Below are 23,772 nucleotides of genomic sequence, written 5' to 3'. Positions count from 1 at the left end.
TCACCCAGGGTTTCCTGCAAATCCTGCTGTCTGCAGGACAGTTATCTTCCATATAATAGCTCAGTTTTACATTGCATTCATGGTCATAGAGGCAGAGAAGGGTGTCATGCAGGGGAGTGTTATACAAGTGATTAAATATTTCCACCATCTCTGCTTACAGTTCATTGGTCAAGGAGAATCACAGGGTGATGGCAAGCCCAGAGATTTAGGAAGGGATGAGTCCTTTGATGGCGCAGAAAGAGAAGAGCCAGGAATATTGATAAGCAACTCTAGTATTTTCACGTATAAGAACTGGAACAGTGAAAAAACAAGCACCTAGGATTCTATAAAGAGCACTAAATGCCAGAAAAGCTGATTAAAATAAGCCAGAGAAAGAATTCAGAGTCAAAAATATATATCATGTGATTTCAGTAAGTGCAGTTGAGGAATGATGTTTTTAGTATGATTTTCATTTATATTTTAGAAAACAAAATCAAACTGATTATTACATTGAGGGTGAATCAAAAAGGGGGAGAGGCTATATCGAGAATATGAATAAAAAACTAATAAACATGCTAACAAATGAAATAAGTGTGATATTTGATAACAGCAAGACTGGTTGCAAATTAAATTCATGAAATAAAAAAGAAAGCCTATGTGAAAAAGCAAAGTAAAGAAAAATGGCTAATTAGATGGTAACATAGACTTGGGATGAGCAGCATCTGACAAGGAAAGATAAGCAAACACCTTGAATTATTGAGTGTATACAAATCAGCATGTCTCCACTCATTCCTGTCAAGGTTACCAGGAGCCAGACAAAGAGATGAATGACACACACCTTCATTATTTAGGCCAATTCTCTGCTCTGGCTGGAGGTGATTGGGTTGCCCAGATAAACTATTTAATGTTTATCCCCAAGCAATGGGCCGAATAGCAATTTATCTCATTTGGTCTCTAAAGGAACTTAAAACAGAGAAAGAAAGACCATGAAACTGCCAGCTCTGTTATTCAAGCATCTGAACTCTGCGTCAGATTGATCTCTGACCATTGCTTGATTGAACTGTTGCTTACTATATTAGCATATTCTAAATGTTAAAAACATTTTTATATATGTAGATGTGGTCAGAAAGAATATTTAAGCCTGGGGGGAGTGCCTCTTGGAGAGCAGTGAACCATTCTATTAGGTTGTTTTGACACAATATAGCATCTCTGGGATAGCTTAAATATAGACTATTAAAAACAGAAGTCTGTATCCCCAGGAAACAAACCTGACAGAGCAATTAGTCGAAACACAGAATATTTCTATAGCCAAGTCAGTCATGGATGACATTGCTTATGAGTTACCAAATAGTGAAATAAAAACTAATAAAATTTTAGAATATGTCAAACATACTGATTTCTAGCACCATTTAGGCTAATCATACCAATTGTTGCCTACATTCTCCCCTCCCCCTTTTCACTATATGTTGACTTTTACTTTGTAGAAAGTGTGTTTGTCTAGTAGTTTTTGACTGTCTCACTAAAATTATCCCCTTTGGGATTTTTATCTCCCTTTGCCTCCAACCATAATATTTTATGGCTTTGGGTGTTAATTATAGTTCTCTTTGCATGTGTTTGGGGATAGTTCTGCTGTTTTAATGTATGGCTCTTTCCCAATTAAATGGAAAATCCTGGTTGGTAAGAGACATAATTTTCTTTGTGTTTGTGTCCTACCCCTGGCACAATTCATGACACAGTGCCTTCTACATCATAGGCACTCCATAAATGCTTGTTGGAGTGCATTGAAAAGTCAAGCCCATTGTGAGTAAAGCCACATCCTGATAACTTCATGCCATGCACATACCACCTTTGAGCTATCTTCTCTCCGTAAGACCAATTATTTATTTCCAATGACATAGGTAGCACCTGTTTTGGGCTTATTCCCAAAAAAGATCCCACAGAGATATGAAGAAAGAAATCTTTGGCTCTCCTTTGTAGGTTGGCCATGTAGGGTTTCCACATAAAAAAGTTATAAACCACTAGAGACAAAATTTTAAAAGCAGCAAAATATGTCATTCATATCATATCACAAACGTTATGGAAGTTTACTTCAGGAAGAGGTTCATGCAAACTGAACAGGAAACTAGAATTCTTGCTAGTGAAGCCCCCAGTTAGAAACTCACATCTCAGCCGCATGTTCACAGTCCAATGTCAATGTTTAGCCATTCTCAAATATGTCAAAAATAACATTGGCAGTAGTATTTAACTATGAAGGAAGAAGAGACCTAGTTTTCTTTTAAGGATTTTTATTAGCAGTCATATTGAGAGAAGAAAATACCAAAAAAAAAAATAGCACATGAAATTGTGGAAGAAGCCTTCTGTATCACTTATTACTTATCAGTAATTCAGATTCTAAGTGATATGTAAACACACATGTATGACCTCAAGAAATCTCTTTATGGTCAAAAAGACTAATGAAGGGAAGCTTTTAGAAACAGTTTCATCACAGTCTAACCCACAAATCCTGTGTTAATTCTATCTCCCTCCTCCATAATACCAGCTAGTTAACTGTGAATGGTCTGAGGTCTGGCCTAGTATCATCATCTCAGATCTCTGAAAATAAACATATTTCACACCTTTTCTGTGACAGGTTTTTTTTTTAACACTGTGCTTTGAGGAAATATTACCGAAGTTTATAGAATAAAGTTTAGACTGATTAGATTAATAAGCATTGTCTCTCATGCCCAAATTTTCTAAATAAACAAAGCTCATTTACGTATCAATTTCTCTTTAGAATTAGAAAAAAAAATGCTTGTCTTACGTTAGTACATACAGTCTGTCTTCCCTATGTGTAAGTTCTGCATTCAAGGATTAAATCAACCTTGCCTCAAAAATATTCGCTAAAAAAACATGGATGGTTGTGTCTGTACCGACTACGTACTGACTTTTTTCTTTATAATAATTCCCTAAACAATGCAGTATAACAACTATTCACATAGCATTTACATTCTATTAGGTATGAGAAGTCATCTAGAGATGATTTAATGTGTATGGGAGGATGCGCATAGGCTATATACAAATACTATGCCATTTTATATAAGGAACGTGAGCATTCGCAGATTTTGATATCTGCCAGCGATCCTGAAACCAAACCTCCCAGATATCAAGGAAAACTGCATTGATAACTAGGTTGGCATTCAAAAGAATAGATATGCTTGAAACTTTTTAAGATAATTATCCAACACAAGCATAATTATATTTTAAGTAAAACTGTGTGTCTGTCCATCTCTCACACTGTTTTGGTTCTGTGTATCCCTTCAATGGCACTGCTTTTGAGACTCTTCTATGTATATCCTATTTTCCCTCCTCGATAGTGGGTTCTCTAAGGATAAGGGCTGTGGATTCCCCATAGTCTTTGTGCAATACCCTATCCACAGCAGTATTAGGTAAATCCTTGCTGAATGAACTGATCGAAGTTGGTCTGTGGTCTTGACTGATAAAAATCCTTGATCAAAGTTGGTTTTCCTTCAAACATAAAAAAACAGAATGAACAAAGCTGAAAACATTGCTTTGAGTTGAAGAATGCCTAGAGCAGAGAAAACAAATTAAAAATTAAATTATCACCACACTCCAGCTGTTTCTTCTTCACCTGTTATGAATCTTGGCTTAGAGAAGAAAAGTTAAATGTAATTTTTTCATAAGGGATCAGGCATACCCTTTTCTCCTACTAGCTGGTATTCTTGGGTAGAATAGTGAGGCTACTTTTTCACTGAATTGCACTTCGGCTTTGCATTCTTTTTCTTCTGGACAGGTTTACTAATGTGCTTTCAGGTGACTCATACAATAACCTACTAGTCTATGGCAGTGGGTCCTAGCCCTACTCAGTTCCTGAGGCCCATTTACTCCATGGTCTTTACTTCAACAGGACCAGCTGCCATTGGCCTCATTTGGTGAGCTGGTTGCTCAGTTGTAACATCTGTGGAGTCCTGTGGAGGAACCCCTAGTAGGTGTCTGATGTGAGGTGAAAATGCTTCTGCATCACACTGATGGACCTTGTGTTCAAAAAGTACAGTGTGTCAGTTCCTGAGCCCGCTTACTTTTCAGCTAAGCTCCAAAGCTTCAGGGATAAAGGTAATAAAAGGCCACACTGGCTGCAGAGGAGTGAGTAGCCCTCCCTTTTTATTTTAGTCAGCACTTTTGGTTTATTGCCCCTTGCCTTTCTAAAATTGTGAGCTTTTCCATAGCCTTCTAAAGACATGCCATCCCTCCAGCTGGCTGCATGATCGGTTCTCATCCTTTATCTACTCTTTAGGTGGTTTTATTTTTTTCTTAACCTGGAAACCTCATGGAATAAATCCTGCTTTAATTTATGTAACTTATTTGTGTAACTTTTTAATGAGCCAGATCTGCATGGAAAAATGCAAAAATAGCTGGGAGGAAAAAAAAAAAAACAGAAATAAACAAAACAAAACAAAAATCCCCACACCTACTTTTTTTCCAATTAGAGCCAACAGTTTACCAGCATTGGAGCACATTTCTGGCACCAGCCAGCCTGTGTTTGTTTTTAATACCACTGTGCCTTGTCATATAATATAACAGCTTTTTATTTTCAATGATATTAACTGTCTGCAGGGAGAAAGAGGCAGAAGACCTCTCCAGGACCTGAGAGTCTTATAAATAAATGAGTTTTTTAACCTCTGCTGTAATACAGATATCTTTTCAATATAATATTAAGACCCTTTGTGACAGGATCTGTCATTTTAAATACAAAAACACTATGCCCATGGAATAAAAATACTTACTTGGCAGATGAAAAACATTTATGCTCCATTTTTACTTCCTGTGGCTGACAGTACAGAATTCTTTGTTGTTTTACCCTGTTATAATCACAGGGGATAAATGAGAAGGAAAGACATGGCCAAGCTATAATTAGGTGGGTGCCAGCAGATTGATGGTAAATCTCATTGCCAGAACCTCTTGGAAAGCCTCATTTCCTCAACCCTCAGTCATCTTCATCAAAGAGTATAACATAACTGGACATCTCTGGAAATACTCAGGAGTTCCAGGAAGTTCTACATAAAGAATGAAAATTATAATAAGCACCAGTAGGCTTGTGATTGAGTTCACTTGTTACCCTCTCAAAATATCCTTCTTGCAGAAATAGAGAAGACTCCTGATTAAAGTCATAAACATCAACCAACTGCAGCATTTGCTGGGGTATGAAATTGTCAACACTGGGTAATTTGGCCACCATTAATAACTAGACATTTTTTGGAGAGACACTATATACAAAGCCCTGTCCATGATATTATTGTGGATATAAAAAGGTATCCCTGCTCTGAAGAAGCTTATATCAACCAAATTTAAATAAAATTCAATATCCCTCAATTTAAATACATATCAAATTTTTGTGGCAATTCAAAAATCAAAACAGAATATTATGTGTATCACACAGTGCCAAGTGGTTAGTACAAATGTATATTGTGAGATTGGAGATAAGTAAGATGTCTGTGTTCTTTAATCTGTGAAAATTTAATAATAAGATCAAAAAAAGAATGAGAAAAGTTAAGTTACAAGAATTGGAGAGAGTCTCTCTTAGCCAACTCTGGCTCAGGAGGCTGCCTGCTTCTTAAAATTAAAAAATATATATATTTGACAGATGATAGATGGATGGATAGATAGATAGATGACCATTTCAGATGGGCCATTGGGCACTTTTAAAGGATGATGGTGTGTTCTAATACAGTGATTAGCTTGAAATGACAATAATGGTAACAGCTAATATTTTTTTCACTAAAACTAAGTGTATGTAAATTCAATACCTTTTAAAATTATAGTTATTATTTATGATACTCTTGATAGAGTGAACTAGATTGAATTAATTAACAGTTATTTAATTACAACTGAGGAAACTGAGGTTCAGGTAATTTAAGGGACTTTCTCAGTAATGCAGGTGGTAGCAATACTTGTTTTAGAACACAGAACTTCTTTTTTTTTTTTTTTTTTTAAGACAGATCTCACTCTGTTGCCCAGGCTGGAGTGCAGTGGCATGATCTCGGCTCACTGCAATCTCCACCTCCTGGGTTCAAACAATTCTCCTGTCTCACCCTCCCCAGTAGCTGGAATTACAGGTGCATGCCACCACGCCTGGCTAATTTTTGTATTTTTAGTAGAGGCGAGGTTTTGCCATGTTGGTTAGTCTGGTCTCGAACTCCTGACTTCAGGTAATCTGCCCGTCTCGGCCTCCCAATGTGTTGGGATTACAGGCGTGAGCCACTGTGCCTGGTCAGGACTTCTAATTTCTAAAGATTTGGCATCTAATACAGTGCTGTTTTAGATCAAGAACAAAGTATAATAATAATAAGAGGAGATGAAAGAGGAAGGGGAGACGGAGAAAAGAAAGGAAGACGAAGGAGAATAGGGAAGGGAGGAGGAAAGAAGAGGAAAAGAAAAAAAGGAGGAGAAGGAGAAGGAAAAAGAGAAAAAGAAGAAACCATCACTACCACCGATGCCATCATCTTGTAGACATAGAATATCAAAGGCCTTTAGCTACAGGGAAATTCCAGAGGAAAACACAAGAAAAAGGAGTCAAACAATCAAGCAGAACACATCTGTTTATTACTTTTTTCTTGTTTTTTCTTTTTCTTTTGAAGAGTTGTACTGCGACATTAGCTCTTTTGACTAGATGTGATGACAGACTGTCTTTGGTCCATTCTCTTTTATTGCCTTGGAAGAGAATAAATGAGGAGTAGTTCTCACCCATTGCAGCTGAGGCATCACACCTGTAATGGGATTAACAAGATGATAATATATCTTTTGCCAAGACCACATACTAGCAGGTAAGTCAACTGATGCTGCATGTCATTCAAACCCCTGCATTCATGTCTGCAATGGTCCTTTGCTTACTGGAAATGGACAGATCTTTTGCAAAGTCCTCACATAATCTTAATTACTACATAGAAACACTAAACATCGAACAAAATCAAAATCAGGAGACACATAGCACAGGCTGTTATAATTTTCACCACTGCCCTTTCTCCATGCTGATTAGCTCCCCATAAAGCATAAGTCCATTATTGAAGTGAAATCCCCTATTTTCTGGAAGTTGGAGTGCATGTTGGTTATACATTTAGTCAGAATCGGGTTCATGGGTTATAATCTTGGCTCCAGCACCTACATAAATGGTGGTTTTGGGTAAATTATTTTATATTTCCATGTATTAACTTTCTCACCTGTTAAATGGGAATAATCGCAGTGCTTACTTTCTGCATGTATCTAAGGATATAAACAATGTGTGAAATATATGGCACTAAGAACAGTGCTTTGTATTTTGTAGCTCTAAGTTATTATCTGCTATTACTATTTGATTGCAGCTTTTCAAAACACTCGTTGCAGCAAGAGAATGGAATTGGAGTAAAAAATGTCTGGGATCCTCTGAGTCTTATATCCACACCCCAAAATAAGAATAGAGTTAGTACTTACCTCTAAAATAAGAATAATATTTACATCTCTGCTCTATTAGGTAGGGTAGACAATGTGAAAATCATGTTAAGCCCAAGTCTCAGGGGCTGAACACGATAGTTCATTTCTTGTTCCTGTAGGAGTCCAGTGCAGATGTTTGGTGGGAGGCTTTCCTTGCTGTGACTCATGGCCCAAGATCCCTCTGTCTTTTGGTTCTGCCTTCTTTTATGATTCCCACACTTTCTCACTCCTGTAGGTAGGTGGGAACAGGGAAACACGCAGATGGATTTACTGGGGATTTTTTTTTTTTTTTTTAGTTCAGGTTATAAACAAAGAGAACTCTAAAGACAAGCATTTAGCAACTTCTTGTGGCTTAGGGACAAACTCAACCCATTCTCTACATTCACAGTTTGGGGTTCTTAAGACCACAATAAAAAGTTGTAAGGGGAAGAAATAAATTTTGGAAGGCTTTATGCTAGTTTTTCCTCTGGAGCCTGCTACTGTCTGACTGGGCTAGTCCTGGAAGAATAACTATTTTCAAGCACCTCCAAGAATTCTTCTTTACTCTAAGGAAATATTAATTAAATTACTACAGTTGCTACAGCCACCTTGACCCATGAGCATTCACACTTGTTCATTTCTTTGGCAACAGCTCTCCTGGCCAGACCATTTTTCAATGGTCTGGAGCTGATGCTAGGGGTTCCTATGTATCACACAGCCTCTGTAGGTCAGGCACTGCTCCAAGTACTTTATATGTATCAGACCATTTCCTTAACATATGCTTAGAAAATCATTTGAAGGCAGGCACTACTACATTCATTCTATTTTACAGAAAGTGTGCCCCAAAGAGAGGATTAATGTTCCCAGAATTGCAGAGACCTAAGTGGCCAAGCTGAAAATCAAACCTAGGCAGCCAGGAACTGAAGGCCATGCTCTTAATCCCCCTACTACACTCTACATTATTGCAACATCAGCGATTCTCCCAGTTTTGATTTTATGATACATATGGACAAAGCCTCTCCTCTCCTTCTTGCTTCTGTAAATTATTTCAAAATCCATATTACTTAGAAGTAAAGAATCTTTTAGTGCTTTTTCTGCTCAATCCCTGCATCATGCCCACCCCTCCCCACCCATCTTCTCTTCTCCAAGTCAAACTGCCTGGGTTTTCCAACCATGTTTCAAACAAGGCAATGATCTGCTTTTGCCATACTTCTTGCCCCCTAGTTGTCAATGCCTCTTAAAATGTTGCCTCCAAGATTAAAGAAGAAAATAACTCTAAAAATGGTCTGACTAGACTATAATGACTTGGGACTTCCGTCTCCATAGATTTGTTCACTAAACCTCCCTCTTCAATTTCAAGAATGTATTCCTTGCCAGCAGCTATGTGACACTGAGTTTGTGGTTTCTTTTATAGACTTAGAACCTTCTAGAAACATCATTTTTCATACTCTACCCTTCTTGCCCTATCTCATTCACTCTTTTTCCAAACATTTTGCTGAGGAAGCACATCAGATTTTAAATTTTAGCTTTGGAAATAAGGCTCTCCATGCCAGAGAATATTTTGTACTTTATGCTTTTATGAATGCCTAAATGATTCCTTTACCACAATGACCTTTCTAAAGTTTTAGGTTATTAAGGCAAGTTTAAGTATCCTTCTTTAAATTACTGTACTCAAATATAATACTAACTCCAAGCTTATTTTTAGCAGCTAAAAATTGGAAAGATGTTTTAAACTTACTGAATTTGGCCTTTTAAAAAAGACAACAATCAAACAAGCAGTCACCCAATTTTCTATTATTCCAGTACTCGGATTGCATTGGAGTTTTAACTCAAATGTCTGTAAATGTCATCATGGAGAGAGACTAGAACATCTGGTTCTGTGACATCCTGACTTAATCTGCTGTCTCCCAGGTGGGAGGGGAAAGGAGGGTTTTGAAATGCATTAACCTTTTGTAATTGTTCATCTATTACATAAACCTTGGAAGATGGAGCTGAGTAGAGCTTTGTGGAATCCTGTACAATCACTTTGTACCCTTTATCTGTTTGATTTGATTGGGTTTCTAGCCTAAGGAAAATGAATTTCTCTCTCTCTCTCTGTCTCTGTCTAAAACACTCATATATATATGTGTGTGTGTGTGTATATATATGTGTGTGTATATATATATATGTGTGTATATATATGTGTGTATATGTGTATGTGTATATATGTGTGTGTGTATATATATGTGTGTGTGTATATATGTGTGTGTGTATATATGTGTGTGTGTATATATGTGTGTGTGTATATATATGTGTATGTGTGTATATATATGTGTGTATATGTGTGTGTGTATATATGTGTGTGTATATATATGTGTGTGTATATATGTGTGTGTGTATATATATGTGTGTGTATATATATGTGTATGTGTGTATATATGTGTGTGTGTATATGTGTGTGTATATATGTGTGTGTGTATATGTGTGTGTGTATATATATGTGTGTGTATATATGTGTGTGTATATATATGTGTGTGTATATATGTGTATGTGTGTGTATATATATATGTGTGTATATGTGTGTGTATATATGTGTGTGTGTATATATATGTGTGTGTATATATGTGTGTGTATATATGTGTGTGTGTATATATATGTGTGTGTATATATATGTGTATGTGTGTATGTATATGTGTGTGTATATATGTGTGTGTGTATATATATGTGTGTGTATATGTGTGTGTGTATATATATATATATACACACACATTTGTTTCATATATATATATATATATATATATATCTTATATCATGCCTTGTTTTATTCTCCTTTTTTTGCATCATCACACCCAGGTTGTATTAGTCAGATCTCTTCAGAAGGACAGAACGAATAGTGTATAGCTATAGCTATGGTGACATAGCTATCATATCATATATCATATCAAATATCTCTATCTATAGCTAAATATCATATCTATAGCTCTAGCTATAAGCTATTATATCTTACATCATATATCACATATCACATACATCATATGTGCGTGATATAAGAAATCAGACAAAAGACTAACAGCACACCTCATTCTGTCACTTCCCTGGATTTCCTGGGGTTTTGTTTCATATATATATATATATGAAACAAATGTGTGTGTGTGTATATATATATATATATATATATATACACACACACACATATATACATACACATATATATATACACACATACACATATATATATACACACACATATATATACACACATGTATAGCTATAGCTATGAAAATCTATATACACACATACACATATATATATACACACACATATATATACACACATCTATAGCTATAGCTATGAAAATCTTCTGGGGGCCCAGATAGAAAAAAAATAATTCCTCTAATAAGTTCTAGCTATAGCTATAGCATAGATATAGGTGTGTGAGACACAACTTATTCGAGGAATTAGCTTATGTGATTATGGAGGCTGAGAAGTCCCACAACAAGCCATCTGCAACCTGGAGACCCTGGAATGCTGGTAGCATAGCTCAGTCCAAGTCTGAAAGCCTCAGAACCAGAGAAGCCAATGGTATAATTCTCAGTCTGTGGTGAAAGGCTTGAGAACCTGAAAGCTTCTGGTAAAAGTCCTGAAATCCCAAGTCTGGAGAGCCTGGAGTTCTGATGTCCAAGGGCAGGAGAAGGAGAGTCTTCCAGCTCCAGGAGACGGAGAGGAAATTCTTTTTTTTTTTTTTTTCTATCTGGGCTCCAAGCTGATTGTCACCCACATTGAGGATGGATCTTCCCATTCAGTCTACTGACTCACATGCCATTACCCTCTGGAAACACTCTAAAACATACACCCAGAATTATGCTTTACTAGGTCTCTAGGTGTTCCTTAATCCACACCTGAAACCTGAAATTAACCGTCTCACAGGTATACTCTCTTTCTATTTCATTAATGCAACTCTCTCTTGAATTATATCTTTCTTATAAGGCTAGGAGTGGTAGCTCATATAAAGTCATTATTAGACAAATGTCTGATTGCTATTTAGTTGTCAATGCCTTCTAAAAATGTTGCACTCAAACTTCTCAAAAATAAACAAACAAAAAATACTTTAGAAGTATTTAATTCAACTAGAATTTCCCTGAGCTCATTGTTTGCTGGGTCTCTCTTATTTCAAAGAAAAAGTAGACTACTTTTAGAAACTCCTTGACACTTAACTTTTTGCTTATAGTATAAATTCAGAGCTTTCTAGAAGCATTGCTCTTTATCCTCTTTCTCTCCCTTTCATGCAGTTACTAGAATGTTAGATTTTCAAATCAAGAAATGTGCCTTACATGTTGTCGTAGCTCCACTGTATATCAGGCAGACCCCGGTACATACTAGGCACTAAATGTGAGGTTTTGATTCCAGTATTAAGGAATGTTTACCTCCACAAATTAGTATTTTTAGAAATTCTGTCAGCCATGTTTTTTTGTTTGTTTGTTTGTTTGTTTGTTTGTCTAGCAAGTCTTTAGTCTCACAAATTCCTGGAGTCAAATAGTGTTGAATTTTTAAAATTCTGCTATTTCCATAGACCAAAACTGTCCTTGGTATAACTAACATCAGTGATACCCTGACTATTATGGCCCAAGTACCAGAACACCATGCACAGTGTCAGTTATTCTATAGACATTGTCTCTAGTGACTGGCAGCTGGCTCCTGTCATTCCACTTTCTCATCCACCAAAACAAAGAGTGCATACAACAAGCCACAGTGTTTGCACATCATTTCTAGAGTTTCCATAACACAAGCTCCCATTTTCATTTGCAGTAATGAGAAAAGCTCACAACAACAGCTCTTGCCACTTCCCTCCTTATTGTTCTTGTTTGGAAATGGGCTATAAAACTTTACCACCTCATCACTATAGATCACTTTAAAAAAATAAAATAAAATCGAATTTACATTTTGTTCCAACTGGTTTTCTTGACTGACAGTTGTCCACAGCTCAGTGGCTGCTCTGTTCAGTGTACTTTAATTTTGAGCTTTCAAGTATTTCGGAAGCCCATTCAGAAGTAAATTCTCAGAGAAAATTGAGCTCTGTCATGGATGGATTAGTACTATAATAGTTGGTCACATATCTTGCATGAAACCTTTCAGAAGCAAGGCAAATGAGAAGGAAATGAAATTCATTTCATACTTCTTCAAGCACGCTGAGAGACTTTCTCTCCAAGTAATCTGTGAAGTAGCGCTGGTTTATTGGAGGTTCGCATAACTACCATTACATTATACCTTGTCACAATCTCATGTATTGGGTGACTGCTTTTTCTGAACGGATGGTACCTGCAAAGTGCTCTCTGAAGGCACTGAACAGAGAGTGTCGTTCCTTTCATCAAAATGTATAGGTCTAGGGAATAGCATAAATAAAAGTACTTGAGCTAAATTGGACAATTACAGGTCAGAGGTGAATGAAATCTGAAAAGCAGATATATGGGGGAGTCATCACATTTGCTTTTTGATATATTGATAAACCAAAGACCAGAAAGGGAGGGTGACTGGGGGAAGGAGTGAGAAATACAGAGAGAGAAATTGAAAGAGAGAGAAATAGAATTGTTGCTAGATATGGCTCTTGGAAAACAAGGAAAGCTTTATTACTTTTAGCAATATTGTAACATAGTATTTTGTTACTTTTCCAACTGCAATAATGCCAGCATTTCATTGGAAAGCATGTGTGTTGGGGGGTGCGTATCATTTTACCATGTGATAAGCACTTTTCATAGGTAGCAAAGACACATTATGTAAACTTAGGAGGAGGAGAGAATGCAAATTTGCATGTGAATTTTATTTTGATTAATCGCTTTTTTTGCTTTTCAGCAATGTTATTTATGAACAACAAAATTATAGAAAAAGTGAGAAAAAGTCAATTATCAATTATTTTCTGATGAACAACAACAAAGACAAAAAAATGGTGGGATTGATTTATTTTCCCCTGACAGAATTGATTGTTTCTTTAGGTTCTATGCAACTTGCAGACTCACTGAGGGTGAATGGAATGTGCTGAAAATTCAGCCTGACTTGGCAGCTCCAAGGGACACACCTCAATGTAGAGAAAGCAGGAATTAGAGATGAGGTTTTTTAATCCCTGTCTCAGTTTTGCCTTATAGATGAACCACAATGAGTCTCAAGCAATCTGAGTTGAAGTAAGTTGGTATTAAGCAGGAGTGGTTTGGCCATGAGTATAAAAATCTAGTTGTGTCTTACCAGTGGATGAGGAGGCAACAGCCTGTGCTACCTCATTTGGGAGAGGGTGAGCAATACCTCATTCTGAAAGGTGACATGTATTCCATCAATGGAAATCACTGAGTTCATACTCCACCATTAGTGGCTTTACCATTGGTCTTCCTCAAGGCTGTCAGAGAACTAGTAACTTGTATGGAAAGGAGTATGCAGGTATAGACAGAAGAAGGGTTTGAAAAAGGGAGTCGGAGGATATTAAAAACAAATCTTATCAGTCACATTTTCATGTAGGCCTGCCTTGCAGGAACCAGTTACAAAAATTAAAAAAAAAAAAAAAAAAAAACCCACCAGAATTTACCCATTTGCATCCACTAGCTTTTGCTTAATTTAAATTGTTTGGAGAGGCAATGGTGTTTTGTGTCAACCAGAAAGAATGCAGTCTCTTGGATTATCCACATCTGCATCTCCCTTGCAGTGGACTTTCCCTTTACTTTCTGGAGTTAACTGTACATTGCTTTCAGACACAGAGGCCTTTCTGTGAGATGCCTCCCACTGCCTACCATTGTGTCTTCCTCTAATATGGGCTATCATACCATGTCTCTGCTTATGTAGCTAGTATTCCAGGTTAAACAGACAGAATTACATCAAGTAATATTGTAACACAAGTAAATTCATCAATCAATTAATCAATCAATCCTGGGGTATTTAGGAAAGTTTCTAGAAGCAAGCCATTTGGGGTGCTTGCTAAATGCTGTTATTATCTCACATATTCTGATCTGTAGTGCCTTCTTCTGTGTTAGAGCTTTAGACCATGCATTTTAAACAAACCTTTGGTGATTCTGACCCCAAAAATCTGTAGACTTCCTCTAGAATGACAATCAATGATGATTAATGGTAGGACTCAGGAATCTAGAATTCTAATTTATAAACTCTATAATCCTTAGTCCATTAATAGAAAAAATGAAGTAAACTATTCCTGCCATGTCATTTCACAAGGTTATGTGATTCACTAATGCTCACAAAAAGCTTTGAAATATAGTCACTAAACGTGTTGAGTGTATATTAAATAAATTAATACCAATATAAGCTGTTATTAGTGAAACACCTATTATTGCTAATATGCAAAAATCAAATTGTGTGTTGGCTATTCAACATAGTGTTAAGATATTTAGGGTACAACAATGTGTGCTGTATGTCTGTGTGTTGAGAAATCATCAATATGATGAATGTTGGCTTCAATTCCATTTGCTGTTTATTCACCCATGTGCCCAAAGCACTTGGACAGTGGGGATATTTGTCTCATCATAAGTCATTTAACATAGTATGTCAAGAATGGAAGTTAATTCTTTCATAGCTGAGCAATGTTTTACAGAAACAAAGAAACAAAAGTTATTAGTGAGAATACTAGTAATATTTCTCTGAGCTTAATGTATTTAACTCCTTATATTTGGAAATCCCAGTGGAAAACACAACAGGTGGGCTTTTCCAGTTCCTTTTGGACTTTAGCAGGATGATTGTTTTCAGTTGTGATATATCAGTTGGCCAAGATATCTAATAGTTAAGTCTGCAGTGTAATAGTAGGCATTTACCTGACTTTTGCTACTTTCCAGGTAGAAAGTTTGCTGTCACATGCATCTTTACTGTCAGGAAATTATCCCTAGCCATGCAAAGTCCCTTCTTGCTGAAGTGTTGTAAGTCTATTCACAGAACAAACTTCCAGTAAGCTATATTTTATTCATTTTTGGGAATATAAGCACAAGATAGTTTTTAAAAACACATTAGAATGTACTAGTATCCACCAAAAAAAGTTATCTTTTTGCAAATACTTGTGAATTTTTGCAAGTATTTTTTTCCCAGCTAGGAAATGTCACTGCAGCTGAATTTTAAATCAGGTGTTCATATTTCTTTGGGGAGTTTCAGATCAGCAAAAGAAATGGAATATTTACAATTTGGTGCATAATTCATTTTCTGTGTGTAACTTGATTTTTTTTTTACTTTTTTTAAAAGGCTGAATTGTGCTGAATTTTAGACAAAAATGGAGATCATAAATTATTAAGAATCATTCCAGAGGGTGGAATAAGTGGCTTCTTATTAGCATCATTATCATTGTGGCTAATAAAAGAACTTAGCAGGAAAGGAAACAAAAAGGAGGATGTAAGACTGCTGACAAAGGTGGCTTAATGTTTTAGTGCTTGCATGTTTATCAGAACCCATGTGGGACAGGATTTTCTTGAATCACCACTCTGATCTGTCTTTTCCAGCTGCAAAACCCTGGGCACATTTCAGGGCTGTCAGCCTGCTTTCCCTCTCCCAGAAAGGCCTGTGTTCAGAGGGCTGGCAGGGCGATAACATCTTTTAGCAGATAGGTGTGAAATCAAGGCAGGCTTTCATAACAACTCCTATTCAATCTGACTTGGAATCCACTGGAGTGGCATCGGACTCTCAAAATTCCTCAAGTTCTTCCCTTAGGCATGCTGACATGTGAGCAAAACAAGAGTAAATATCTTAGCAGGTAGTTTTATCTTAATGTTCTCATTATTTTTCCTTTGGACCCAGGATCCCAGCTCCAAAACCTCTCCAGCACCAATGTAGTTCCTCATATGGAATCCAATCATTACTCATTCATGCCTTTCTGTGAAAGTCTTACCCTTTCAAAAAAAGGTTAACCGGCTTTCTAGGGAGCACCCACTGAACTGCTCCCAATCATCAGTGTTCTATTTGCTGGCTGCGGTCTAGAGCTCATGAAGTCTGGTTTCAGTTCCTTTCTCTGTTGTTTGTGCCACAAGGAAGGTCTCCTGGTGAATGACACAGAGGGTTGGCTAGGCTACATTTCCCTGTGTGACAACTCTCTACTCCCGATTTTTCTTTACAGCCTCCACATAAAGTTGTGTAGGTGCAGCAGTCTCAATGAAAGATTAAGGACATTGCCACAAAAGGAAATTAAACTACGTGAGGAAGATAATTTTGAATGTCTACCGACAGAAAAATATGCCCAAGATTAGGAAATGGTCAAAAAGGCTTACTGTATTTTCTTTCACTGGAGTGTTGGACATTGTCTAACAGATCCTTCAGGGGTCTGAACCTGTCAGGATGTATACCTTTGATTGTCTTTCTGTTGAAGGTGCTACATTATAATTCTGTAGGGGAAGAAGTGAAGTAGTAGAACACTGATATTACTACAAATTATTCTCGTTCTTAAGAATACAAATAATTTTTGTCAAGTAAAGATATAATTGATTTCTATCCTGTAGAAAAGATGAGTCTAAACATCACATTGTATTGTCCTATAGATTATTAATATGTTTTACATCTATTAGCAAATTCATTCATTATTGCTGATTATATATCTATATATGGCTGTTTTTCTACTATTTATTTCAACTGACTTTAATATCTTACTGGCTTCTCATTAATTAGTGAGATGAATAAAATGTTTGCAACATGTTCATTTTGTATTTGCCTGAGAATAATATTTTAACTGTTTGAAAATTATAATTTAGCATACTGATTATGACTTTTCTTAATATCTAAGAGAAAAGCTAGAATAAGCTAAAATCACCTTATAAGTTTTACTCATGACGTTCCCTGGTTTCCAATATAGCCCTCCTCCTTTCTCCCCAGTTTCTGTCTCTTTGGCTTTAGGAAGTCTCTCTTTTAGAGTCCAGATTCTCTTTTTACCTTGTGGGAAATCCATCCAAGTACTTTGGCAGTTATTATATGTAGCTGAACAGTCTAAGTTGAATATTAACATTTTAAGTAGAATCTTTTTAAAGATTTTTCACTGATTAAACTTTTAAAGTCTTAGTCTACTAAGTAGCCCCTGGAATGCACGCTTGTGCACACACAAACACGTATATTCTCACCTGCACACACATACTCACCATTTTTCTAAAGAAAAACATTAAGTGTCATAGACAGTAATTTTGCAATCTAAATTTTGCTAAGTCATAAAAAGGAAAAAAAAACATTTTCCTAATTGAACTATAAGTTGAAAAGCTAAAATGGAATATACATAATCTATTATTAAGAAAAATAGCATAAGCTTCTTTCATTTAAAAATTTTGCCTTTTTGGACCCATCAGGAGTAAGAAATCGGCTAATTATTGGCTCATATGCATTTTAAGGACTGCTTTCTTAGCTGCACAAAGAAAAAATTTGTGTAACGATAGCTACTAAGACCAAATTTTAAATCAAGGCACCATTTTCTCTTTATTCTCTGGATATAGGAAGTTAGATAGTTTCATTCTCCTAGTTTCATAACAAAATATAAAGACAGAAACATTTTAAATCCAGGGCATAACAAACAAATTGAGAATATCTATTCATGGTTTTTTTTTTTAATTTAATAAGGAGAGTAGAGAAGAACTGGAGACATATCACAGTATTTTGTCATTGTGAGTGTTGTAGATAATGGTCTAATCCAGTGTTACTCGAAGTGTGGTCCTTGAACCATAGAAACATCTGGGAGCTTATTATTTATTTATTTATTTTGAGACAGAGTCTTGCACTGTTGCTTGGTCTGGAGTACAATAGCTAGATCTCGGCTCACTAACCTCCGCCTCCTCAGTTCAAGCAATTCTCCTGCTTCAGCCTCCTGAGTAGCTGGGATTACAAGCGCCCGCCACCACGCCCAGCTAATTTTTTGTATTTTTTGTAGAGATGGGGTTTCACTATGTTGGCTAGGCTGGTCTCGAACTCCTGACCTCATGATCTGCCCGCCTCGGCCTCCCAAAATGCTGGGATTACAGGTATGAGCCACTGCGCTCGGCCTGGGAGCTTATTAAAAGCACAAATTCTTAGGCTCCATCCTGGACAGACTGAATCAGAATCTCTGGGAGTGAGGTCCAGGAATCTGTTTTCTAACAAGCCCTCCAGGTGATTCTGATGCACTCTCAAGTCTGAGAACCGGGAACCATTGAATTCTGATATAAGTTTTCCTAATAGTGAAGAGCAAAGATTAGGATTAAAAAAAAAAAACTGGATATACTGGTTAGCAAAAAAGTTTACAAAGCACTTTCTATAATATGATGAAATATTAAAATTAGATAAAGTATGCAATGAATCCTTTCTGGGAGCATATGCTAAAATACCAATAGTAGTTATTTTACTGTGGTGAGTTAGTGATCTTATTATTACCTTTCTTCTTCATTGTTATTTTCTTATTTTCTACAATATTCATGTTTAATTTTTGTAATACTCAAGTTTGTTCAGTCATTTATTGAGTATATATCATGCTTTAGCAAAGCTCTGGCTGTACACATATGAATATTATCTTCTTTATCTTTGAGGAGTCCAGTAGACACACATTGTAAATTCTAAAAGAAGAGATGCCTGTATAAATATTTTTAACAAAGTAAGCTTACACTAATGTTCATTGTCATCACATTGTCATAGCTCAGACATAGTCAAATATAAGATTTTTTCATTGACAGTTAGAGGTACCTGTATATAAGTGGTCAGATGGACCCTGACTGAGAACAGATATTTAAATGAATCTTAGACTTCATGCTACACAGAAGAGATAATGACAATGCAAATAAATTTTACATTCCTGTTGATTTAGAAATAATAAATGCAATAATAACTCATTAGTAGCTATTTTTGATACCTCTAGTCTTCAAGAACTTTTCTGTAATTATGTGATAAGTTTGAAAGCTGAATCCACTGTTGTAGAAACAGCTCGGCATGCGTAGGCCGGAGCAGGTAGAATCACCTTTGGTTATGTCTATAGGACATAAAGTAAAGTGGAAATTTGGGAGTTATTAAGATCTAGTTTGATCTATGTAGATAACCAGCCCAGATAATAAGTCCTTTGGGTGAGTTATTTGTACTGAATTATCTGGTTTGGCTATATACATGTAAACATAGATCAAATTAATAGGATAATTGTCAAACTTGTTCTTCACCTTGTGTGTGTGCTGACTTGCTCTCAGGACATAATTGGTACTCTGGGAGAGTCTAGCTCAAAACTGAGTAAACAGGAACAATAACTAATGGAGACTATGCTGAGTCTAGTAGAAAATGCAATGTGTTACGACTGTGCCCTGTAATCGGGTTTTTGGAACCAGATGTTCTGAATTATTAAGGCTAGTTGGTATTTAATGACATTAAAAAAGAAGTTGCCTAACAGTTCTACAAACACAAATGTGGAAATGACAGCTTTAATTCTGATTTATGAGGGAAGAGATAATAAAAAAACTAATATTTTAAAATGTACAAGTAAAAAAGAAATGGACACTATACAGAGGGCAGTTAAAACACAACTTTAAATAGCCTTAGTTAAAATTTTATTTTTTATTAGATAATTGTCCTTCAGAAGCCTGACTGACAACAATGAGTTTATAACAAAACTAATACATGAATATAACAATTATGTCCTCAGAAAATGACATTTATCAGCATTTGGATCTCATTATGTATTCTCAGCAAAATCCAAAAATGAGAGAGACTATAAATTATAAGGTAAAGGCAAGATTTTCCATTATAGAAAATTTAGAATATTCAGAGTGAGTGTTTCCAAGGCAACTGTCTATGCATTACCCTGCAAATAAACATGAGGAAAAGTTTTACAAGTATCATTATTTGAGAGATGTTATTTGAAAGATACGATAATACAAATATCTACATATGCTCACCTCCATTTCCATACAGTAATCCAAGTTCACATAAAATCGCTGCCGCAGGTGCAGTCCTCATGGGAGGTGGAAGTAATGGGAGAGAAACAGCCACTGAGCTGGCAGTAAATCAACCCACTAATCAACCAGTCAAGTTAAACAAACTTCCTCTACACTTACTATTGACTGGCATGCTTTTCTAATCGCTATGGGAAGGTACAAAGAGTAAGAAGAAATATCTCTTGGACTCAAGGGACTAATAGCTAGGTAGGAAACTGGATCTATGCAACAGGAACATTAGCTCAGACCAGAGGGAATGTTTGGCAAATGCTGAGGGAGCCCTTTGGGGTAGTAAATGGTGCTCTGTGCATGCTCCCTGGAGCAGCAGCAGCAAGATCATCTAGGAACTTGTTAAAGTGAAAATTCTCAGGGCCCACCCCAGATTCCAAATATTAAACTCTGGAGGTGATGCCAAATGCTGTGCATCTTAATAGGCTCTTCAGATATAGACAATAAATCACAAGAGTGATTCAAATAAAAGGGAATCACTGAGTATGTATAGTTATGGGAGAGAATGATAAACGTGAGCTGAGGCTTGAAAGATAGAAGGATATCAGGATCTGGGAGCCTGAAACAAAGAGAATGTATTCCAGGCACAGATGTTGATGTGAGAAACAATGGCACTCCATGCATGTCCCTGTTGAAGTCACCTGTTAAATTGTATGCATCTTTTCACATGCTTTTGTCCTCCAATAGACTGTAAAATCACTACAGACAAAGAACAAATTTTAACTTTCTTTTTTTTCAGTGTTTCACACATAAGGAGTGCTCAAAAAACAGGAAGAGAAGTAGAAAATGGGTCAGCAAGAGGAGAGGGGAGAAGGAAGGAAAACATGTACATAAGCTCTGTGTTGGGGGAAGAGCACATTGGATTTAGAGCCAAAAGATACTATATTTAAATGATATTTACAAATCTTTCTTACCATATGACCTACAGTATTCCTTTGAGTTTTGGTTTTCTCACCTACAAAATGACAAAGACAAAATCCACCTCAAAGATGTTGGTGCAGAATAGGCTACATTACATAATTTAATGGCGTCTGGCATTGTGTCTAGTCTGTGATGTGGCACAATAAATATTTTTTAATATCGAAATAGTGATTTTTCCTTGAACAGTTGAGGGCATGGTGATCTAAAAAATTGACTTAGTGTCCTCTAAATACTCTTTCTTTATTTTTCTCTATTCCTTTAGTTTTTACACTCATTCCTTTTATAGTCTTTCACATGCTTATTATTTATATTTTCATCTCTGGATTCCTATTGAACCAATTTCCCTCCCCATTTTCTTATTTAAATTGCTAACATTTACAGAGCCCTTACTAAGTGCCAACAGAAGGGCTAAATATTTTGCAAGGATGATCTTATTTTAAAATTACAATAGAGGGATCATAATTATTTCTATTTTGTGGATCAGAATCCAGACTTTTATAATGATTCAAAAAATATTTCCAGCATCACACAGTTATTACATGCTGGATGAGATTTGCACCCAGGCAGTCTGAGCTTCAAGACAAGTGCAGAACCTTCAACATTAAGCTGCTTCAATTCCAAAATATTCCGTTATGCTCCAGTCTCTAGTAAGAAAATGAGGTTCACAAAAATAGCATCAAATTATTTTAAGTGTCTGTAGTTGTATCTCATTTAATTTTAGAAATATCATCTGTTTGGCTTATGTTGCTTTGCACCTGCAGGGTTTACATAGGAACCTGTGAACTCCTTTGGAATAATGCCTCTACAAGTGTACTTACATGTCTTCATGCCATCCTTCTGTAGAAAATGGGAGGCATTACAAGAATGTGGTCACATTCTTAACCCAGGTAGTAGTTTCTGGGCCACCTTTCCCTAATAAATGTTTTGTTTGTTTGTTTAATCGAGAGAACTATCAAAATATAATCACATTTATAGACTCTGTTTAACTAGAGAGAAGGATTAATAATACATTTTAAGTAAGATATCCATCCACAATGAATGCATTTTGAAAATGAAACATTTTGTGCTTAAACAATAAGTTTTGGTGTTCAGGAAAATTCAGTTATTTGTAACTCTTCCTTCCTGAACAATGCTCAATAAATGACAACTTGCCCACCTCCCTTTTTTTGTGGGGCTATTTCCTCAACTATCTGTACAATCACCTCATTTTGTAACTTTACTTTGCCCTGTGTAGGGCATTGTCCTGGTTGGTAATTGTGTGGCCTATTGTTTGCAGCACATGGATAATTATTATGCTGTGAACATCAATTTGTTGTACAGTGGCGAATGGTGCGATTTCCCGAGGGACATGATGATAACTGTGATTCTCCTCAGTAGGGGGTGGGATGTTGCTCAGGGCTAGAGCTCTGCCCAGTAATTCCCTCTTTACAAGTAAGACTATACATAGTACATCCTAGAAGTCCTTCATTATAGAATTTGTTTTCTGCTTGTTAACATCATTTCACGCTGGATGGGCACTAGTGTAATTTTCCATTTTGTTTCATCAGGTTGAAGGAAGAAAGGAGACTATCTTGAAAGTCTTTTATTTTATAGACAGTTGGTCATTTCATTAACACTTTTCATATTCTTGTTTGTCATGATGACTGGTGATAGTAAAAAGATTTTCTCCCCATTAGCTTATGAGAGAACAGCACTTTTATTTATTTATTTATTTTTGGGCTGAGGAGTATTGATCGACCAAAGAGGACATTTATTAAAATGTAACCAGCATCTTGGCATTTGCAAGTGGTGCACACTTTAACCGATTAAATAGTCATGAAGAAAGAAATCAATACATCTTGGATTCCTCTACTCTGCTCTCTGCCAGCAAAGTGGCCTCACAAATTAAGAAAGAAATAAACAAATGTGTTTACACTGAATGTTTAAAGCACTTTGCACTTCAATCAGGAAGTAAAAAGACATTACTAATATTGGTTGGGTAGGTGGTTTGGATGTGGTTACGTTCGTACAAATCTGGTGATAAATAAGAAATCTACGACTAAACTTCCTGACCACAATTGGACGGAAGTATGTCTATGGGAATAATGCAACTGCAGTTGGTTGTCCTACGAAATGCAAGAGGAAGGTCATTTGAAGTCTACAGGACTAGAAGCTTATTGAGTTATTGTTTGTTTTGTTTGTTTGTTTGTTTGTTTTGGTAATTCTAGTTTGCATGGCCAAAGGATTCCAAATCTTTGATTCCTAGGGTCAGATGATCTGGTGGCGTAGGAGTGATGCAACATGCAAGGATACAAAATAAATATATACTACTAATGTTAGTGGCTTCCGAAATCAGTCATGGGTAATTTCACACTAAATTCTAGAGTCTTAGCACACAATTCTTTATCAGTTCACATTTTCAAATGTTTTCAGAGATGACTAACAGAGCATCTAATTTTAATTTTTCACATTGTGAATTTTTTGAAACACTTGTGATTATTTTGAGTGAATTGTTACAGGTCTGTTAAGATCACACTAATTCTTTGCCTTGATTCTTGTCAAATTTCATCTTCTTGGTTTT

General features: G+C 36.2%; 2 long non-coding RNA genes across 3 annotated transcripts in view; one reads left to right on the top strand and one right to left on the bottom strand.

Annotated features, from left to right (window-relative positions):
• The window catches only part of MIR924HG (MIR924 host gene), a 545,072-nt gene that overhangs the window by 417,433 nt on the left and 103,867 nt on the right, over positions 1-23,772 (top strand). The gene's annotated exons all lie outside the window — the stretch shown is intronic.
• LOC101927879 (uncharacterized) lies at positions 6,555-20,323 on the bottom strand. Of its 2 annotated transcripts, XR_007066450.1 has the most exons (4): positions 20,244-20,323; positions 16,632-16,745; positions 7,441-7,669; positions 6,555-6,740 (listed from the first exon to the last, which is right to left on the bottom strand). It is a non-coding gene; the product is annotated as an uncharacterized LOC101927879 (long non-coding RNA). The 2 variants fall into 2 exon arrangements; XR_001753422.2 differs by lacking the exon at positions 16,632-16,745.

The sequence above is a fragment of the Homo sapiens genome, chromosome 18 (assembly GCF_000001405.40).
Source record: "Homo sapiens chromosome 18, GRCh38.p14 Primary Assembly".
Lineage (NCBI taxonomy): Eukaryota > Metazoa > Chordata > Mammalia > Primates > Hominidae > Homo > Homo sapiens.
Note: the sequence above shows the minus strand (reverse complement) of the source record. Positions and strands in the feature narration are given on the sequence as shown.